General features: G+C 36.3%; 1 long non-coding RNA gene across 1 annotated transcript in view, besides 1 other annotated feature; it reads left to right on the top strand.

Annotated features, from left to right (window-relative positions):
* The window catches only part of LINC00299 (long intergenic non-protein coding RNA 299), a 320649-nt gene that overhangs the window by 134918 nt on the left and 166170 nt on the right, over positions 1–19561 (top strand). The window lies entirely within an intron of this gene.
* Positions 3790–4290: an enhancer, noted in NCBI's record as "H3K4me1 hESC enhancer chr2:8329342-8329842 (GRCh37/hg19 assembly coordinates)". NCBI's record gives its function as "activates a minimal SCP1, AML or CMV promoter by ChIP-STARR-seq in naive H9 embryonic stem cells {active_cell/tissue: H9 hESC(naive)}" and the evidence as "EXISTENCE:reporter gene assay evidence [ECO:0000049][PMID:30033119]".

Raw genomic sequence — 19561 nt, 5'->3', positions numbered from 1 at the left:
TGTTTTGCACAGAAAATTCAGGAAGTGATCCAACAGTTGAAATCTTAGCCATCTACAGTCATCTGAAAATGTTCACTCTCTTCTTTGTTTACAATTAAGCCTTCTAAAAATTTTTTAGAGCTAATTTAGAGATGATCTGTGCCTTTGGCCATGTTCTGGAATTTAGTGGTTTGTGTTGAAGGGCAAAACATGGGTGGGTTGGGTTTATTGCAGTTAAAATTACTGAGTCTAATGTTTAAAGATGTATTATCACATAGATAAGGCAGATTGTACTCGGAAGAATTACATACTGCAGACTCACCTCTGGGAACTAAAGCGGCATTCCAGTTACCTTCCCTAACTCTCCCTAGCATCAGCCAGTCCATATCATTTACAGAATTTCTACTTGTTAAAGAACTCCTTCTTATTTTGAGCAAAATCCTGTATTTCTATAGATTTTATGTGAGTATATATATGTGTGTGTGTGTGTGTGTGTTTTGTATGAAGACAGTGACATGTTAGGTAAGTTTAAGACCATGTTTAAATATTTGTACATTTAGTTTAGTTCTCGAATTGTCCCAATTTCTTTCAGCTTATGTGTCTGCTTTCTTAGGATACAGAAAGTGTACGAGGACTTACTTTTGAAGGGATGCTAGTCACATTGGCTGCTTTTGTTTTCCAACCTCTATCTGGTCGTTTCTCTGTGAGTATTCCACCCTCAGCATTGTGCTTGTGTTTCTGCATTAGTGATGGACTAGGGCTCTTTTGATTCCTTTATAAAGACAAAGTGATACAAAGCAAGGAGAGATGGGCCCAGGACCTTGAGAGGAGGCTGTGCTAGCCCTGCCAGCTGTGAGTTCTGTTCTCTGGAATTACATCCCTTGTTCATTTGCCCTGCTTCTGCTTAATGAGGTAAATTCATTCTAGAGGTTTAAATATGTAAAAAGCAGATTTGCTAGGGATAGAACAATGTATATGAGAAGGTCAGAAATGTTTCTTATAATGATGGCATGAACTCCTTCCACTTCCCAGAAAGCTCCAGGTATTTCATATGCAACATTTCCTAGCTTTCTGGAAGAGTTCTAAAGTGATCGGATTTCAGCTTTGCACCCCATTCATTCAATTAGGGCTGTGGAAGCAGAGCACGTCCACTCAAGAGCTGGAGGAAGAGCCAGTCATGGATTTGATGATAATGTCTGTGTCTCCCTAGAACTTGCTGACATAAGAGGCCCGTCTTTTTTAATGCATCATATTTTTCTGGTTATACAAGTTATTATGTAGCTATTGCAGGACATTTTAAAAAATGACAATCATCTATAATTCTGCTATTCAAGAAATAATAACCATTGTTACTATTTTGATAATTTCTGCCCATTTCTAATCATATGATTTCTGTATCCTTTTTATCATTTGCTATTTTGCCAAAAAACATTTCCCTACCACATTAAAAACTCTTGGAGGGTAGAAGTACCAATGACTGAGTAACGTTCAGGGCGAGGAAGAACACTGGGGGAGGTTGTTGCATCTCCGTGAACTCTGAGCACAGTGGGTAGAGGAAGGAGTTCTCCAGGGCAGGTGGGAAACACTGATGGACAAGCTTTGGGAGCCTCTTGGCTTTTAGATTTCTGTCCTCCATTCGATTTTATGAAATGGAAGGTACAGCGGAAATGAATGAGGAGCTGTATAGAGTTAGCATCTCTGAAAAAAGACGATGATTGGTGTAAATGGATGGAAGGGAAGTGCACCTAATGGTCTTGAGAGCTGAAAATAAAGTTGATCTAAAGCCTGAGACATGTGGGCCACAGAAGGGCCAGGTCTCTGGTGGAGTGAGTTGTTGAGAAAGAGCTCAGAGGTGATGAACTGAGGTTTAGAGTTCCAACTCTTGAGGCTCAATCTGCTTCCCCTCTCCAACACGATCCTGCAAGTAGATGATTCATTCAAAGATAAATATTCATTAAAAGGCATGAGACCTATGCAAACTTACTCCTATCATGAATAGAGAATTAGAATACGAAAAGTAAAGGATATATATATATATATATATATATAATAGGTATGCGTGTGTGTATATAGGTATATATATGTGTATATGTGTATGTATGCACAATATATGTGTATGTGTGTATAGATAGATATCTCAGGAAAAAATGGTGCCTTAAAGACTAAGAAATATATGAACACATAGTTCTCTGTGGATTCAAACATATTAATGAAAATGTGATCTTTCTGAGATAAGGACTCAAGGAGAAACATAGGGCCTTTAAGTAGAGATAAAGAAACAAAGAAATTAAATGAGAAATAATCATTACAGAAATTAGAAAGTTATTATAAGAAGTTAAAAAAACATACCTGGCTAAAATACATGCTGGGATATAAGGAGCAAGTTGGAAAGACTGGACAAAATGCAGCAGAAAAAGAAGCGCATTGCAAAGGGTTATAGTAGAAAGCATTGGTAGTTAAGGCAGATCTGGGATATCTCATATAATCACAATCCTACCTGGAAAAGAGAAGGAAAAAATCATGCAAGGTAAAAATCTTAAATGCTGATTTTAAATTTTTGAAAATTTCTTAAAAGATCAGAGTCCACACATGGAAAGGCGACATGCTCCAGATAAAACAAATTCAGAACAAAACTACTCTAACATATTTTACTAAAACTAGCAGAAATATTTCTATGGCACACAGGGAAGAATCAAATTTTCCTTAAGGAGAACAAGGCTGGTTAGCCTCAGACCTTTATAGCACTCAAATGTGGAAGAAAGTGGAATAGTATTTACAAAATTCTTAGAGGATGGAAGTACAACTAAAAATGTTTATATGCAACCTTCCTGCTATCCAAGTATACAAAAAACAGACCTGTCTCTTGAGGCGTTTATACTCTGAATACTCTCCAGAGTATATACTCTCAATAGCCCTGCCAGAAAAAAAAAAAAAGCCAAAAGTATGAGAGAACAAACTGTAGACAAACAGAAGATGAAGAGATATGTTAAGGTGAAGGAGGAGAAGGAGTAACAGGAAGAGGGTAAAGAAGAAGGAAAAGAATGAAGGAGGGAAGGGAGGAGAGAAGAGGGGAAGGAGGGAAGAGAAAGGAAAAGGGAGGGAGGATGGAAGAAAGAAAAAAAGAAAAAGACTAGTGGTAACATTGAATTCACTGAAATGAAACATGAGGTTTTATGACCATGGAGAGTATGATTACAGAGTAGGATGCAAATATTACAAAATATTATAATAAGAAATTAAAAGAACATTGAGCTTGGGCAAGGAGAGAAGATGGAGAGATCTGAGGAATAAATAGATGCAAACGACGAGACATAACTGCAACAGAAAGGGTGGTGATGTGCGCAGGAAATGCAAATAAAAATACAATAGAATTGTAAAATTAGTATCTAGCAAGTTTTAACGATAAGCAAAAAACGTGAAGCAAAGATAAATACTATATTATGAAAAAAGTTTACAATTTGTAATGAAGATTAATCATGAACATTAAGGCACCGAATGTGAAAAAAGTCATATGGGAAACTCAACAAAACAAGTAAACTTTAATGTATCTTTGTTAGCTTATGCTGTACCAAATAAATGAAAAAAAGCAAAAATATAGAAGACCAAATAATAATTATAAGGTACATAAAATACATTTGTATTGATGGATCAAATGTCAGGCCACAAAGAAGAAACATTCTGAATGTAGAAACAGTTCGGGTGTTGGCTGAAGACAGTGCTGTGGAAGCTGGAAGTGAGCAGCTGTGGTAGATGCTACTCAGGACCTCTCCATAGTCATTTTTTCTGCTGGCCTTTTTGGTGGAACCTCTGTTTTATTTGGGTGGCAACAGTTGCAGCTGGGCCGCCATCTGACACAATTCTGACCAGTAAGAAACTTCTGGAAAGCTTTTGCGTTCTTGATGCAGGGCTAGCCCTTAATGCTCTCTCCACTTTTGGTTTCTTCCTGCTTGGAAAGCAAATGTGACACCTGGAGGGGGCAGCCACCTTGTGACTACAAAATGAAAGACATGAGGAAAAGTGGCTGCACGCCCACATCTCCAGCACAGCCCAGGGAAGTGATGGGGAGGGGCTTTGTCCCGGGCAAGGCGGCCCAGTCCTCACATGAGTTTAAGGCAACACTGAACTGTGGTTTTCTGTATTGCAGTCGAATGATAACTGGCAGAATAATCCAATGAAAAACAAATCCCTTACAACCTAGAAATAAAACAAAACCTAAAATGGCAGAATATTTAAAAAATAATTATTATGGAAATACTGTATTTCAGAATTCTGATAAAATGGTGAATGAGGTACTCAGACCAACCTTCTTTTTAAAAGTGACTAAATATCCTAACTAAAAATATATTTTTCTAAAAAAACTGCTGCTTCTTAAGTATATAGATGAGCTGGTAGAAAATTTTTTTTTTAGGCTAGAAAAATAAGCAGGGAGAAAACCTAGGTAAGCCAAGTCAAGCAGTTAGATTTTACCCTGAGAGTGTCTGCTGAACCTGGAGAATTTGAACTTTAGTTTTCATGGCATGGGGTACTAAGAATAGGAGACAAGACCTGGACTCACCCAAGACAGGCCATGTAATAGGAATTTCCTCTCTCATAAACCTAGGACCATTAAAGGAAGATCTTTCAAATGTGTGAGGACAAAAAAATAGAGATCCCCCTGCCCAGTTGTATAATTATTTCATTATATATTACAATGTAATAATAATAAAAATAAAGTGCAGTTTATTTCTAATAAATGTATATATATACACATTTATTTCTAAATGTAAATAATAAATGTAATGCACTTGAATCATCCCAAAACCATTCCCCCTCCTCCTGGTCTGTAGAAAAATTGTCTTCCACAAAACTGGTCCCTGATGCCAAAAATGCTGGGGACCACTGCCTTAAAGGATATAATTCTAAAAATGAAAATTAACAAAATGTGAGCAAAGGTAGGAGCCACAACTTCGAACTATGTTTGGAAGATTTAAAAAAAACCAATTTAATTAAAATATAATTATTATCGAAAAACTATGAAAAGAGAAATAATTCATTATGGTACAAAACTTTGAAACAATCAAACAAATGTGGGAACTTTTTTTTAACTTGGAGGTATATGAGAGAAAGAACTAATTTCTTATCTAATGTAACAGATCATTTTAATAAAAGTGTCAATCATTGAATCAATGTTGGTCTTGCAAGATATCTAATGCAATAAATTCAAATATAAACCTTAATTAATATGCCAAATTTGGATAGTCACTCAGTGTAATTTAGCAAGGTTGTCAATCAGGAGAGCTGCAGCTTGACTGAGATCTTAAGCCAACAAGAGAAGCTTTGCAGAACCTTCTGGGCTGTTGTCAGAAGATGGAACCTCTAGCATATGAAAGCCCCTGGTCCAGGCTTCCCATCTCCTGCCATTTCATACCATTGCAGTATAATTTAATAGATCTGAGAGATAAAGACTGAAATTATACTTTATCGAATACCTTCCTTGTGTAAGAAACTTGCATCAAGCATTTACATGTCACATCACGTCATTTTCACACCAAAACTATGAGGTAGTGTTATTATCCTCATTGCATAGTTGAAGAAAAGAGGTTCAGGTAAGTTATCTGCCTAACATGACCCGGTTAGTGGTGAGGCTGGAATTGAAAATGAGATATTTTTTCACTTAGAAATTCATTTACAAACATCATATAGCTGTCCTCCTGATATCATGGAACTTTGATTTTGAGCAAAATCAGGAACAATCTCATATTATTCTGCAATCAATTATTGCCAATGGGCTTATTCAAGTTTTAGAGTGAATTATCCCATCATTGGCCTTACGTTAGGCAAAGAATTTTGCATCCTATCACATGTTTATTAACACTGTCTTTTCTCTCCCTCTCCACTTACCTCCCCTTATCTCATCAAAGTGGTTAATCGTCAGTGACCAAGACCCAGGCTGTATGTTCCTAGATGCCTTTCCCTCCCAAGTTTCTCCCACTATACTTAGTATTCCCATTGGCTTACTGTTCTCATACCATCTATTCGTTAATGCCATTCCCCTTCTTCAAAATCTTCTAGTGGTTCCTTGTGGACTGACAAATACATTATCATTTTATTCAATGTCCTTCATAATCCACCACAATCCATATTTTTAGTTTTCAAGCCCACAACTCACAATCTATTAATCCCTTAGTATATATCAAATACTTTGTAACCACTTTGTAAATTAATGTATTTAATTATTATAGTAGGCCTATATTACGGATATTATTATCTCCATTTTATAGATGAGGAAACTGAGACCAAGAATAAGTCACTTGCCCAAGGTCAGACAGCGAGTACGTGTCAAAGCCAGGGCGTGAACTATGGAACTATTATCCCCAAGCCCCTATTCTTAAATATTATTTATACTACTTTTATGTGTATAAAATAATACAACAATTCTTTGCATTTGTACATTATTTTACCATTCACAAAACCATCTTTATACATTAAAAAAAATCTCATCTTCCCAGCACTTTGGGAGGCCGAGGTGGGCGGATCATGAGGTCAGGAGACTGAGACCATCCTGGCCAACATGGTGAAACCCCGTCTCTACTAAAAATACAAAAATTAGCTGGGTGTGGTGGCACGTGTCTGTAGTTCTAGCTACTAGGGAGGCTGAGGCAGGAGAATCGCTTGAACCCGGGAAGCAGAGGTTGCAGTGAACCGAGATCGAGCCACTGCACTCCAGCCTTGGCGACAAAGCGAGACTCTGAATAAAAAAAAAAAAAAAAAAAATCTCATTTGGTCTCTTAAAAGTCCTTTTTTAAAATTTGATCTCTCAATAACCCTTCAAGGAAATTATTAGCTCCATTTTTCCCCCAGGTCAGAAACTGAGTCTTAGACCTGAACTTAGAGCAACACTAAGAGGTGTCAGAGGTCAGAATATTGAGGTGTCAGAGGTCAGAATATTATCATTTCCTCTAATGAAAACTTTTAACTTTCTACCATTCAGATTTCAGCATATCTTGGAAGAACTGACCTAAAATGAAAGCCTATATAAAATATATATATATAGAAGAAGACAGCCTTAAAATGTGAAAATCAGTGCTGAATTGAAGGAAGGTGAAATCAGCATTGAAGTTGGAGGAATATTTAACACAAAACAATAAAGCAAAAAAATTAATTGTTCTTTAGTGACAGGGATAAAATGGTAACCTAAGGAACCAATGTATTACTTCTATTAAATTCAAAAGTTAGATTCTTTGGAATCATTGCTAGACGATTTTGTGTGTCTGTGTGTGTGCATGTGTGTGCATGAGTGTGAAAGAGAGAGTGATGGCAAGAAAGGTAACAAAAGAGATTATTTCCAGGTGTAATTTAATTTTGGGATGTGCATCAAAAGAATGCAGACTTACCGGCATTGTGACATGCAAGGACTATGGAAACTATCCTGTAATCCTCTGACAAGGGCAGGTGTGTGAACAACAGCTTATAATAATACATCACAGAAAGGTGTAAATGCAGCTAGGAGAAAATGATTAAGTCTAGGAAAACTTTGGAATGCTGCATGGAAGAGAGGCTTTTTTTTTGTCTATATTCATGAGGGATGTTGGTGTGTAGTTTTTTTTTAATGCCTTTTTCTAGTTTTGGTATCAAAGCAATGCAAGCCTCAGAAAATGAGTTGGGATGTGCTCCTTCCTTTTTATATTTTGTAAGAGTTTGTGTAGAATTGATATTATTTTTTCTATACATGTTTGATGGAATTCTTGAATAAAACCATCTGAGCCTGGAGTTTCATTGGTGGGAAAGTATTTTTATTGTAAATTTAAAGTCAACTACATTGAATATAAGACTTCAAATACAGGGTTTTAGAAATATAAAGTTCAAATATTATTCTCCTTTCAGGACTGGTCATTTGTAATTTTCCAGAAATTTGTCCATTTCATCTAAGCTGTCAAATTTATTGTCATGAAGTTATTCACAATATTTTCTTATTATCTTTTCTATGTCTGGAGTATCTGTAGTGATGTCTCCTCTTTCATTGCTGATATTGATATTCTGTGCATTTTCTGTTTTTTTATTAGTCTGGCTAGAGATTTATCAAGTTTAATGATATTTTCATAAAACCAGTTTGTAATTTTACTGATTTTTTTGGTCACCAATTTTTAATTTTATTGACTCCTGCATTATAATATTTTCTTATTTATTTAGGTTAAATTGGCTCTTTTTTTCTAGTTTCTTGAGGTAGAAGATGATATCATTTATTTTATTTAAGATCTTCCTTCCTTTCTAATATAAGCATTTGATGCTATAAAGTGTTCTTTAAATATTGTTTAAGTTGTAAGCTGAAATCTAGAAATCTTAATATGTTGGGTTTTTCTTTCAGTTCAAAATATTTCCTAATTTCTTTTTAATTTCTCCTTTGATTCATGGCTTATTTACAAGTGTGTAATATGATTTCCAAATGTTTTGGAGTCTTTCAGTTGCCTTTCTGTTACTGATTTCTACTTAAGTTAATTATGATCAGAGAAGTTATTCTGTATAATTTTAATTATCTTCAATTTGATGAGATTTATTTTATGGCTCATCATCTTATCTATCTTTTGAATGTTTTATGTGTACCTCAAGAGACTGGAATACGCTGTTGTTTGGTGAATGTTCTATGAATATCAATTAGGTCAACTTGGTTGACAGTTTTGTTTAGTATTCTATATTTTTATTGATTTCCTTTTAATCTATAACTTACTGGAAAAGGAGTATTGAAATCTCCACCTATAATTGTAGATTTGTTTATTTCTCATTCTGGCTCTATACATTTTGGCTTCATGCACATTGATACATTTTTTAAAAATTTTATTATTATTATACTTTAAGTTTTAGGGTACATGTGCACAATGTGCAGGTTTGTTACATATGTACACATGTGCCATGTTGGTGTGCTGCACCCATTAACTCGTCATTTAGCATTAGGTATATCTCCTAATGCTATCCCTCCCAACTCCCCACACCACACAACAGTCCCCAGAGTGTGATGTTCCCCTTCCTGTGTCCATGTGTTCTCATTGTTCAGTTCCCATCCATGAGTGAGAACATGCGGTGTTTGGTTTTTTGTCCTTGCGATAGTATGCTGAGAATGGTGGTTTCCGGTTTCATCCATGTCCCTACAAAGGACACGAACTCATCATTTTTTATGGCTGCATAGTATTCCATGGTGTATATGTGCCACATTTTCTTAATCCAGACTATCCTTGTTGGACATTTAGGTTGGTTCCAAGTCTTTGCTATTGGGAATAGTGCCGCTATAAACATATGTGTGCATGTGTCTTTATAGCAGCATGATTTATAATCCTTTGGGTATATACCCAGTAATGGGATGGCTGGGTCAAATGGTATTTCTAGTTCGAGATCCCTGAGGAATTGCCACACTGACTTCCACAATGGTTGAACTAGTTTACAGTCCCACCAACAGTGTAAAAGTGTTCCTGTTTCTCCACATCCTCTCCAGCACCTGTTGTTTCCTGACTTTTTAATGATCACCATTCTAACTGGTGTGAGATGGTATCTCATTGTGGTTTTGATTTGCATTTCTCTGATGGTCAGTGATGATAAGCATTTTTTCATGTGTTTTTTTGGCTGCCTAAATGCCTTCTTTTGAGAAGTGTCTGCTCATATCCTTCGCCCACTTTTTGATGGGGTTGTTTGTTTTTTTCTTGTAAATTTGTCTGAGTGCATTGTAGATTCTGGATATTAGCCCTTTGTCAGATGAGTAGGTTGCAAAAATTTTCTCCCATTGTGTAGGTTGCCTGTTCACTCTGATGGTAGTTTCTTTTGCTGTGCAGAAGCTCTTTAGTTTAATTAGATCCCATTTGTCAATTTTGGCTTTTGTTGCCATTGCTTTTGGTGTTTTAGACATGAAGTCCTTGTCCATGCCTATGTCCTGAATGGTATTGCCCAGGTTTTCTTCTAGGGTTTTTATGGCTTTAGGTCTAACATTTAAGTCTTTAATCCATCTTGAATTAATTTTTGTATAAGGTGTAAGGAAGGGATCCAGTTTCAGCTTTCTACATATGGCTAGCCAGTTTTCCCAGCACCATTTATTAAATAGGGAAACCTTTCCCCATTGCTTGTTTTTCTCAGGTTTGTCACAGATCAGATAGTTGTAGATATGAGGTGTTATTTCTGAGGGCTCTGTTCTGTTGCATTGATCTATATCTCTGTTTTGGTACCAGTCCCATGCTGTTTTGGTGACTGTAGCCTTGTAGTATAGTTTGAAGTCAGGTAGCGTGATGCCTCCAGCTTTGTTCTTTTGGCTTAGGATTGACTTGGCGATGCGGGCTCTTTTTTGGTTCCATATGAACTTTAAAGTAGTTTTTTTCAATTCTGTGAAGAAAGTCATTGGTAGCTTGATGGGGACGGCATTGAATCTATAAATTACCTTGGGCAGTATGGCCATTTTCACGATATTGATTCTTCCTACCCATGAGCATGGAATGTTCTTCCATTTCTTTGTATCCTCTTTTATTTCGTTGAGCAGTGGTTTGTAGTTCTCCTTGAAGAGGTCCTTCACATCCCTTGTAAGTTGGATTCCTAGGTATTTTATTCTCTTTGAAGCAATTGTGAATGGGAGTTCACTCATGATTTGGCTCTCTGTTTGTCTGTTATTGGTGTATAAGAATGCCTGTGATTTTTGTACATTGATTTTGTATCCTGAGACTTTGCTGAAGCTGCCTATCAGTTTGAGGAGATTTTGGGCTGAGACGATGGGGTTTTCTAGATATACAATCATGTCATCTGCAAACAGGGACAATTTGACTTACTCTTTTCCTAATTGAATACCCTTTATTTCCTTCTCCTGCCTGATTGCCCAGGCCAGAACTTCCAACACTATGTTGAATATGAGTGGTGAGAGAGGGCATCCCTGTCTTGTGCCCGTTTTCAAAGGGAATGCTTCCAGTTTTTGCCCATTCAGTATGATATTGGCTGTGGGTTTGTCATAGATAGCTCTTATTATTTTGAGATACATCCCATCAATACCTAATTTATTGAGAGGTTTTAGCATGAAGGGTTGTTGAATTTTGTCAAAGGCCTTTTCTGCATCTATCGAGATAATCATGTGGTTTTTGTCTTTGGTTCTGTTTATACGCTGGATTACATTTATTGATTTGCGTATGTTGAACCAGCCTTGCATCCCAGGGATGAAGCCCAAGTAATCATGGTGGATAAGCTTTTTGATGTGCTGCTGGATTCGGTTTGCCAGTATTTTATTGAGGATTTTTGCATTGATGTTCATCAGGGATGTTGGTCTAAAATTCTCTTTTTTGGTTGTGTCTCTGCCCGGCTTTGGTATCAGGATGATGCTGGCCTCATAAAATGAGTTAGGGAGGATTCCCTCTTTTTCTATTGATTGGAATAGTTTCAGAAGGAATGGTACCAGTTCCTCTTTGTACCTCTGGTAGAATTCGGCTTTGAATCCATCTAGGCCTGGACTTTTTTTGGTTGGTAAGCTATTGATTATTGCCTCAATTTCAGAACCTGTTATTGGTCTATTCAGAGATTCAACTTCTTCCTGGTTTAGTCTTGGGAGGGTGTAGTGTCGAGGAATTTATCCATTTTTTCTAGATTTTCTAGTTTATTTGCGTAGAGTTGTTTATAGTATTCTCTGATGGTAGTTTGTATTTCTGTGGGATCGGTGGTGATATCCCCTTTATCATTTTTTATTGTGTCTATTTGATTCTTCTCTCTTTTCTTCTTTATTAGTCTTGCTAGTGGTCTATCAATTTTGTTGATCTTTTCAAAAAACCAGCTCCTGGATTCATTAATTCTTTGAAGGGTTTTTTGTGTCCCTATTTCCTTCAGTTCTGCTCTGATCTTAGTTATTTCTTGCCTTCTGCTAGCTTTTGAATGTGTTTGCTCTTGCTTTTCTAGTTATTTTAATTGTGATGTTAGAGTGTCAATTTTAGATCTTTCCTGCTTTCTCTTGTGGGCATTTAGTGCTATAAACTTCCCTCTACACACTGCTTTGAATGTGTCCCAGAGATTCTGGTATGTTGTGTCTTTGTTCTCATTGGTTTCAAAGAACATCTTTATTTCTGCCTTGATTTCATTATTTACCCAGTAGTCATTCAGGAACAGGTTGTTCAGTTTCCATGTAGTTGAGCGGTTTTGAGTGAGTTTCTTAATCCTGAGTTCTAGTTTGATTGCACTGTGGTCTGAGAGACAGTTTGTTATAATTTCTATTCTTTTACATTTGCTGAGGAGTGCTTTACTTCCAACTATGTGGTCAGTTTTGGAGTAGGTGTGGTGTGGTGCTGAAAAGAATGTATATTCTGTTGATTTGGGGTGGAGAGTTCTGTAGATGTCTATTAGGTCTGCTTGGTGCAGAGCTGAGTTCAATTCCTAGGTATCCTTGTTAACTTTCTGTCTCGTTCATCTGTCTAATGTTGACAGTGGGGTGTTAAAATCACCCATTATCATTGTGTGGGAGTCTAAGTCTCTTTGTAGGTCACTAAGGACTTGCTTTATGAATCTGGGTGCTCCTGTATTGGGTGCATATATATATTTAGGATAGTTAGCTTTTCTTGTTGAATTGATCCCTTTACCATTATGTAATGGCCTTCTTTGTCTCTTTTGATCTTTGTTGGTTTAAAGTCTGTTTTATCAGAGACTAGGATTGCAACCCCTGCCTTTTTTTTGTTTTCCATTTCCTTGATAGATCTTCCTCCATCCCTTTATTTTGAGCCTATGTGTGTCTCTGCACGTGAGATGGCTTTCCTGAATACAGCACACTGATGGGTCTTGGCTCTTTATCCAATTTGCCAGTCTGTGTCTTTTAATTGGAGCATTTAGCCCATTTACATTTAAAGTTAATATTGTTATGTGTGAATTTGATCCTGTCATTATGATGCTAGCTGGTTATTTTGCTCGTTAGTTGATGCAGTTTCTTCCTAGCCTTGATGGTCTTTGCAATTTGGCATGTTTTTGCAGTGGCTGGTACCAGTTGTTCCTTTCCATGTTTAGTGCTTCCTTCAGGAGCTCTTTTAGGGCAGGCCTGGTGATGACAAAATCTCTCAGCATTTGTTTGTCTGTAAAGTATTTTATTTCTCCTTCACTTATGAAGCTTAGTTTGGCTGGATATGAAATTCTGGGTTGAAAATTCTTTTCTTTAAGAATGTTGAATATTGGTCGCCACTCTCTTCTGGCTTGTAGAGTTTCTGCTGAGAGATCAGCTGTGCATTTTTATTATATGGCTACACATTTAGGATTTTTGTAGGTTCTTTATCATTGTGATATATTCCTGTCTATCCCTGGAATTATCATTATGATATATCTCTTGTTTTGAAATATTACTTTAATAATAACACAGCCACTCCAGTTTCTTCTGATTAGTGTTTGTAGTATATACTTTTTTTTCACCCTTTTATCTTTGGTTTTGTGTTTAGTTTAGATTTACTGTAGAATAGAATATGGTTGAATCTTTTTTTGTGGTTGTTTTAATCCAATCTAACAATCTCTGCCTTTAATTGGGGAGTGTTTTTTTTTAATCTACATTTACTGAACTAATGAATATGATTGTGTTTTAAATTACTCTCTTGCTATTTGTTGACTATTTTTTCATCTATTCTTTACTATCCTTTGCATTTTATTAATTGAGCTTTTTAAAAAATTATTCCATTTATCTCTACTGTTAGATTAATAGTTGCACCTTTTTATTGTTCTTTTGTTTTGTTTTGTATGTTCTTTGTTTTAGTGGTTTTTCTAGGATTAACATTATGCAATTTTAATTTATCAAAGCCCATACTCAAATAATAATTTTCCACTTCAGTTTAGGGTGAGAACCTTGCCACAGTATGCATTCAATAATCCCCTTCTTGTGACATCATATTTATACCTTTTATTTATATGTATACCATAAACCTCACAATACATTATTATTATTGCTTTAAACAATTATGTTTCCTAGATATTAAAAGTGGTTAAATGTATTTTTATGACTATCCATGTTTTTCATTCTTAACATTCTTCATTCCATTTTTTTACATCCACATTTTCATTTTGGTATTATTTTCTTTCTTTTTGAAGAAACAGATTTTTTTTTTTCTTTTTCTTGTAGAGCAGGTCTGATGGTAGGGAATTAGCTCAGATTTTGTCTCAAAAATATATCCATTTAATGTTCACTTTTGAAATATGTTTTTGCTGGTTAAGGAATTTTAGGTGAATACATGTTCAGTATTTTAAATGTGTTTCTTCATTGTATTCTGGCTTGTGTAGTCTCTGGTGAGACGCCTACTATATTTGGTATCCTTGCTCTTTTTTACTTATTGTATCTTTCTTATCTTGCTGTTTTTAAGATTTTCTTTTCTTTTTTTTTAGACAGAGTTTCACTCCGGTCTCCCAGGCTGGAGTGCAAATGGCATGACCCTTTGGCTCACTGGCTCACTGCCACTTCTGCTATTCTGCCGCCTCAGCCTCCAGGGTAACTGGGATTACAGGCGTTCACCACCACGCCCAGCTAATTTTTGCATTTTTAGTAGAAATGGGGTTTCACCATGTTGGGCACGCTGGTCTTCAACTCCTGATCTCAGGTGACCCAACTGCCTCGGTCTCCCAAAGTGCTGGGATTAAAGATTTCCTTTTCTTACTAGTTTGTAGTTTTCAGAAATATGTGACTTTGCATGCCTTTTTTTTTGTGCTTTTTGCTTGAGCTAGTTTAGCTTTTAAGAACTTCAGATTTCTAGTTTTCATCAAATTTGGTAACAAAAAAGCCTTGTCACTGTCCCGTAAGTCACTTACAACCAGTTTTTCACTTTTTATTCCCTCTTTTTTTCTTTTTAATTTTGGATAGTTTCTACTGCTATTTCCTTAAATTCACCTATCTCTCCTTATTCGTGTTTAATCTGCTTTTAATCAGGTGTGCTTATATTTTATTTAGGTTTTCTTTCTTTCTTCCTTTCTTTTTTTTTTTTTGACAGTCTCACTCTCTGTTGCCCAGGCTGGAGTGCTGTGCTACCATCATGGCTCTCGGACCTTCAGGGCTCAAGTGATTTTCTTGCCGAGCCTCCCGAGTAGCTGTGACTACTGGCGTGTGCCACCACACCCGGCTAATGTTTGTGTTTTTTTAAAGATGGGGTTTTGCCATGTTGCTCAGGCTGAAGTTTTTAAAACATTTCTCCAAGTTTCATTTGGATTTTAAAAATATATATTTTATTTCCCTCCTCATAATGGTCATATTTTCTTCTACCTTCTTGAACATATGGCATAAAGTTATATTCGCTTTTTAACATTTTAGCTAGTTCTTTCTTATCTGTCATGTCTGTGTCTGTTTCTATTATTTTTGCTTTTGGTTATGGAAAAACTTAAGCTTTTTTGCAGGCCTGGTAAGTTTTTATTGGATGCTAGATATTGTGAATGTCATGTTGTTGTTTGCTACAATTTGGGGTGTGTGTGTGTGTGTTTAATAGTGATGAATTTTTGTTTTTATATGCCATTAAGTTAGTTGATATCGGTATCATTTTGTGGCTTGCTGTTTCTTTTTTTTAACTTGAACCATATGTTATATTTTGTTTAGTGATTTGCCATTGTAAACTCATGCAGATTTCTTTGTCTACTTTTATATAAGTGTAGTATGCACTAGAGTTTTATATAAAGCAAGTTAGTTTTGTATTTTGAAAAAAATCTTTCATTTAAGTGTATTTCAAATGTTCTTTAAATTTTACTTCAGTTTCAATTCTTAAAACTTGTAAAAATTTTGAAATAATCGTAGTTTCACATGCAGTTGCAGGAAGTAGTGTGAAGGGATTCCATGTGTTCTTTACACAGTTTCTCTTAAAGGTTGCAAAACCTCAGTACAATATCACAAATGGAATATTGACATCATCATAGTAATATACAGACTATTCCCAACACATCTTCTTCGGGCTATTTTAAATTGCCTCCTTGGTTTCCTTATTAGCTATAGGGCTATCCAAATTATGCATTTCACTTTTGGTCAGTTGTGGTCATATATGCTTTTTGAGAAATTTGTTTATTTAACCTAAATTGTCAAATTTATGAATAAAGGATTGTTTTTAGTACTCACTTATATTTGACGTCTGTGGTAACAGACCCTCTATTATTTCTGATGTTGGTAATTTATGACTTCTCTTTTTTCTTTGTCAGACTGGCTAGAGATTTGCCAATTTTATCAATCTTTTCAAAGAAGCAGCTCTTTTACTGATTTTTCTCTGTTGTATTTCTAATTTCAATTTCACTGGATTCAGCTACTATCTTTAGTATTTTACTTCTGCTTGCTTTGAGCATATTTTGCTCTTCTTTATCTGGGTTGAGGTAGGAGTTTGGATTATTGGTAAGTAAAGACACTTCTCTTTTCTAAAGCAAACGCCTAGTAATATAAATTCCTCTCTCAGCACTGCTTTAGTTGTTTGTCACAAAATTGTTACATTGCAACATTTTCATTAAGTTCAAAATATTTTAATTATTTCCTTTAAGACTTCCTCTTTGACCTATGAACTATGTAGAAATGTGTTGTTTAGTTTCTAAGTCTGCCAAGACGTTACTGTCATCTTTTTGTTCCTGATTTCTGGTTTGATGCTATTGTGGGTAATTAACACACTATGTGTGATTTCACTTTTTAAAGTTTGGTGAGTTTCTTTTCCCTCCCTCCCTCCTTTCTTCCCTTCTTTCCTCCCTTCTTTTTTCTTTCTTTCCTTCCTTTTCTTTCTTCAGTCCAGGATATAGTCTATCTTGGTTTAGTTTATGTTCTATGGATATTTAAAAACAATATGTGTGCTGTTAGAAAGAACGTATATGGGCTGGGCGTGGTGGCTCATGCCTGTAATCCCAGCACTTTGAGAGGCCGAGGCGGGAAGATCACCTGAGGTCAGGAGTTCCAGACCAGCCTGGCCAACATGGTGAAACCCTGTCTCTACTAAAAATACAAAAATTAGCTGGGCATGGTGGCAGGCGCTTGTAATCCCAGCTACTCGGGAGGCTGAGGCAGGAGAATTGATTGAGCTCGGGAGGCGGAAGTTGTAGTGAGCCGAGATTGCGCCATTGCACTCCAGCCTGGGTGATAACAGGGAAACTCCGTCTGAAAAAAAAAAAAAAAAAAAAAAAAAAAAAAGTGTATGCTTTTTTTTTTTTGTCGGGGGGCAGGAAAGAGTGTTTTTGAAGTGTCAACTAGATTCTGTTAGTTGGTGACTTTGTTGAGTTCATCTACATCCTTGCTGATATTCTATCTGCTTGTTCTAACAATCATTTATATTTGTTTACATATGTCTATATCAAGTGCCAGGATTTTACCAGTTTGAGTGAAGTGAAGAAATCTTATCTTCCTTTACATCTCTTTACTATTCCCTATAATAATATAATTGCCTTAAATATTTCTTCCACATAAATTTAGAACGGCATCAAACATTTTTTATACGTATATATTTTGTTTCAATTATCAAACATGATTGAAGAAACTCAAGAGGAGAAGACAAATGTATTTACCCATATTTCTACTCTTCCTGCATTCTTCCTGATGATACAAGATTCATTCTTCTATCATTTCCTTTCCATTTGAGAACTTCCTTTGGCCATTCTTTTATGATAGTTTTCCTGACAAGTTCTCTTCTTCGTCGTCTTTTTTTTTTTAAATTTAAATCTACAATGTTCTAACGTCCCACTCCTTTCTTAGGAATGTTTTTGCTGTATATAGAATTCTGTGTTTACATTTTTTTCCCAGAACTTAAAAATGTTGTATCACCTCTCTTAGCTGTCCTTTTCTTTAAAAAAAAAAAAAAAAGGAGAGACAGATAGAAATTGCTGTCATTCATATTGTTTTTCTCCTGTAGGTGAGGTGTACTTTGTATCTTGTTGTTTTTAAGATCTTTCTTCGACTGTGGTTTTCAGAAGTTAGATTGTGATGTGTCTTTGGATTTTTGTTTGCATTTATTCCATTTGGGGTTTGCTCAGCTAACTTGATATACAGGTTTGTCTCTTTTGCCAAATTTGAGTGTTTTTGCCTTTATTTCTTCAAGTACTTTTTCAGCTCCACACTGCTGCTTCACCCTGGGATGTTGATATTGGGAGTGCTAGATCTTATGTTATAGTCACTTAGGTCCCAGAAGGTATGTTCATTTTTCAATTTTCGGTCTATTTGCTCTCTTGTTCAGATTGTGTAGTTTCTATTTTTCTACCTTCAAGTTCACTGATTTTTTTTTTCTATTTTCCCTCTATTCTGCAGTTGAGAAAATCCACTGACTTTTATTTGGTTGTTATTGTATTTTTTAGTTCAAGCATTTTCATTAGGTTCCTTTTTATGTCTTCTGTGTGTTTGCTGAGGCTTTCTATTTTTAATTTGTTCCAAGCATGCTCATAACTGCTTTTTAAGTTGTTTTTATAACGGCTGCTATAAAATCTTTGTCAGATAATTCTAATTTTTCTGTTGGAGTCTATTGACTTTTTTTCTCACTCAGTTTGAAATCTTCCTGCTTCTTAGTATGATGAGTCATTTCTGATGAAAACCTGGACATTTGGAATATTATGGCATGAGGTTCTGGATCTTCTCTAAATCTTCTATTTTATCTGGCTTCCTCTAACATACTCCTCCAGGAAAAGAGGTGGAGGGTGGCACCATCTCATTCCTGGCAAGGGAGGAATAGAAGTCAAGGATCCCCACTCAGCCTCCAGTGACACATGCATGAGGGAGGGGCTTTCCCCTCCCGAGAGTGTGGGTGGACTTTCTGGCTGTCCAGCAAGCCGCCCTGATGCCACCTGGGATGGGAGTGCTTCATGACTGCTCCTCATGTGGCCTCCACTGATGTCAAGCATGGATGGCTTTTTAACCACTGGGCATTGCTAAGATTTCTGATTCATCTCTAGGCCAACGTTGATCCAACCCCCGGTGGGAAAGGGGAGACGCACCCAGTTATGGTGGGGTGGGGGTGGAAGTCCTGGCTCCCCATGTGGTCTCCACTGATGCTGAGGGAGTTGAGGTAGGGTGCACAGAGCTCATTACCACCTGGCAGGATGAAAGTCCCTACTCTCCTCCTCAAGACAACCCCAGTCAGGGTTTGTAGGTGCTTGGTCACAGCCTGGAAAGGGTGCCAGTCTAGAGCCTACTCTTGGCCTTTGCTGTTGTGAGTAGGGGTGGGACCCCATTTTTTCTGTGGTGTTTGGCTAGAATAGAGCAGACAGTGTCTAAAAGTTTCTGTCTTTCTAGGCTTCCTCTTTCTCGAACCTCTGGAACTGTCTGATGTGAAAGCCTTGGTCTTTGTATAGCGCAGACATCAATTCTTTGTTAGCATATGCCTTGAAAACACTTTTTCTACTTTGCCATTTGTCTTAAAATGTTTGTTGTTTTACTGTTGTGTAAACATATTTATATACATAAAACCTGTATTTGAAGCTAAATATGTCATTCTTCCTTTATGTGTGCATCTTATTATTCAGGCATTTTTAGAAAGTCTTTCTGTGCCTAAAGGTTATAAAATATCACTCACATTTTCTTCTAGTGTGTTTCTTTTGTTTTATGATTTTTATGTTTTAATCTGTGATCCTGCTAGAAAAATGCTGGCATAAGAAAGGGGCTAAAGATCTTGACTTCCTCTCCCATTTCCCAAATACTTGTCTGACATCATTT

The sequence above is a fragment of the Homo sapiens genome, chromosome 2 (assembly GCF_000001405.40).
Source record: "Homo sapiens chromosome 2, GRCh38.p14 Primary Assembly".
In the NCBI taxonomy this organism is placed as follows: Eukaryota; Metazoa; Chordata; class Mammalia; order Primates; family Hominidae; genus Homo; species Homo sapiens.
The sequence above is the reverse complement of the archived record's forward strand: the minus strand, read 5'-3'. Positions and strand labels throughout refer to the sequence as shown.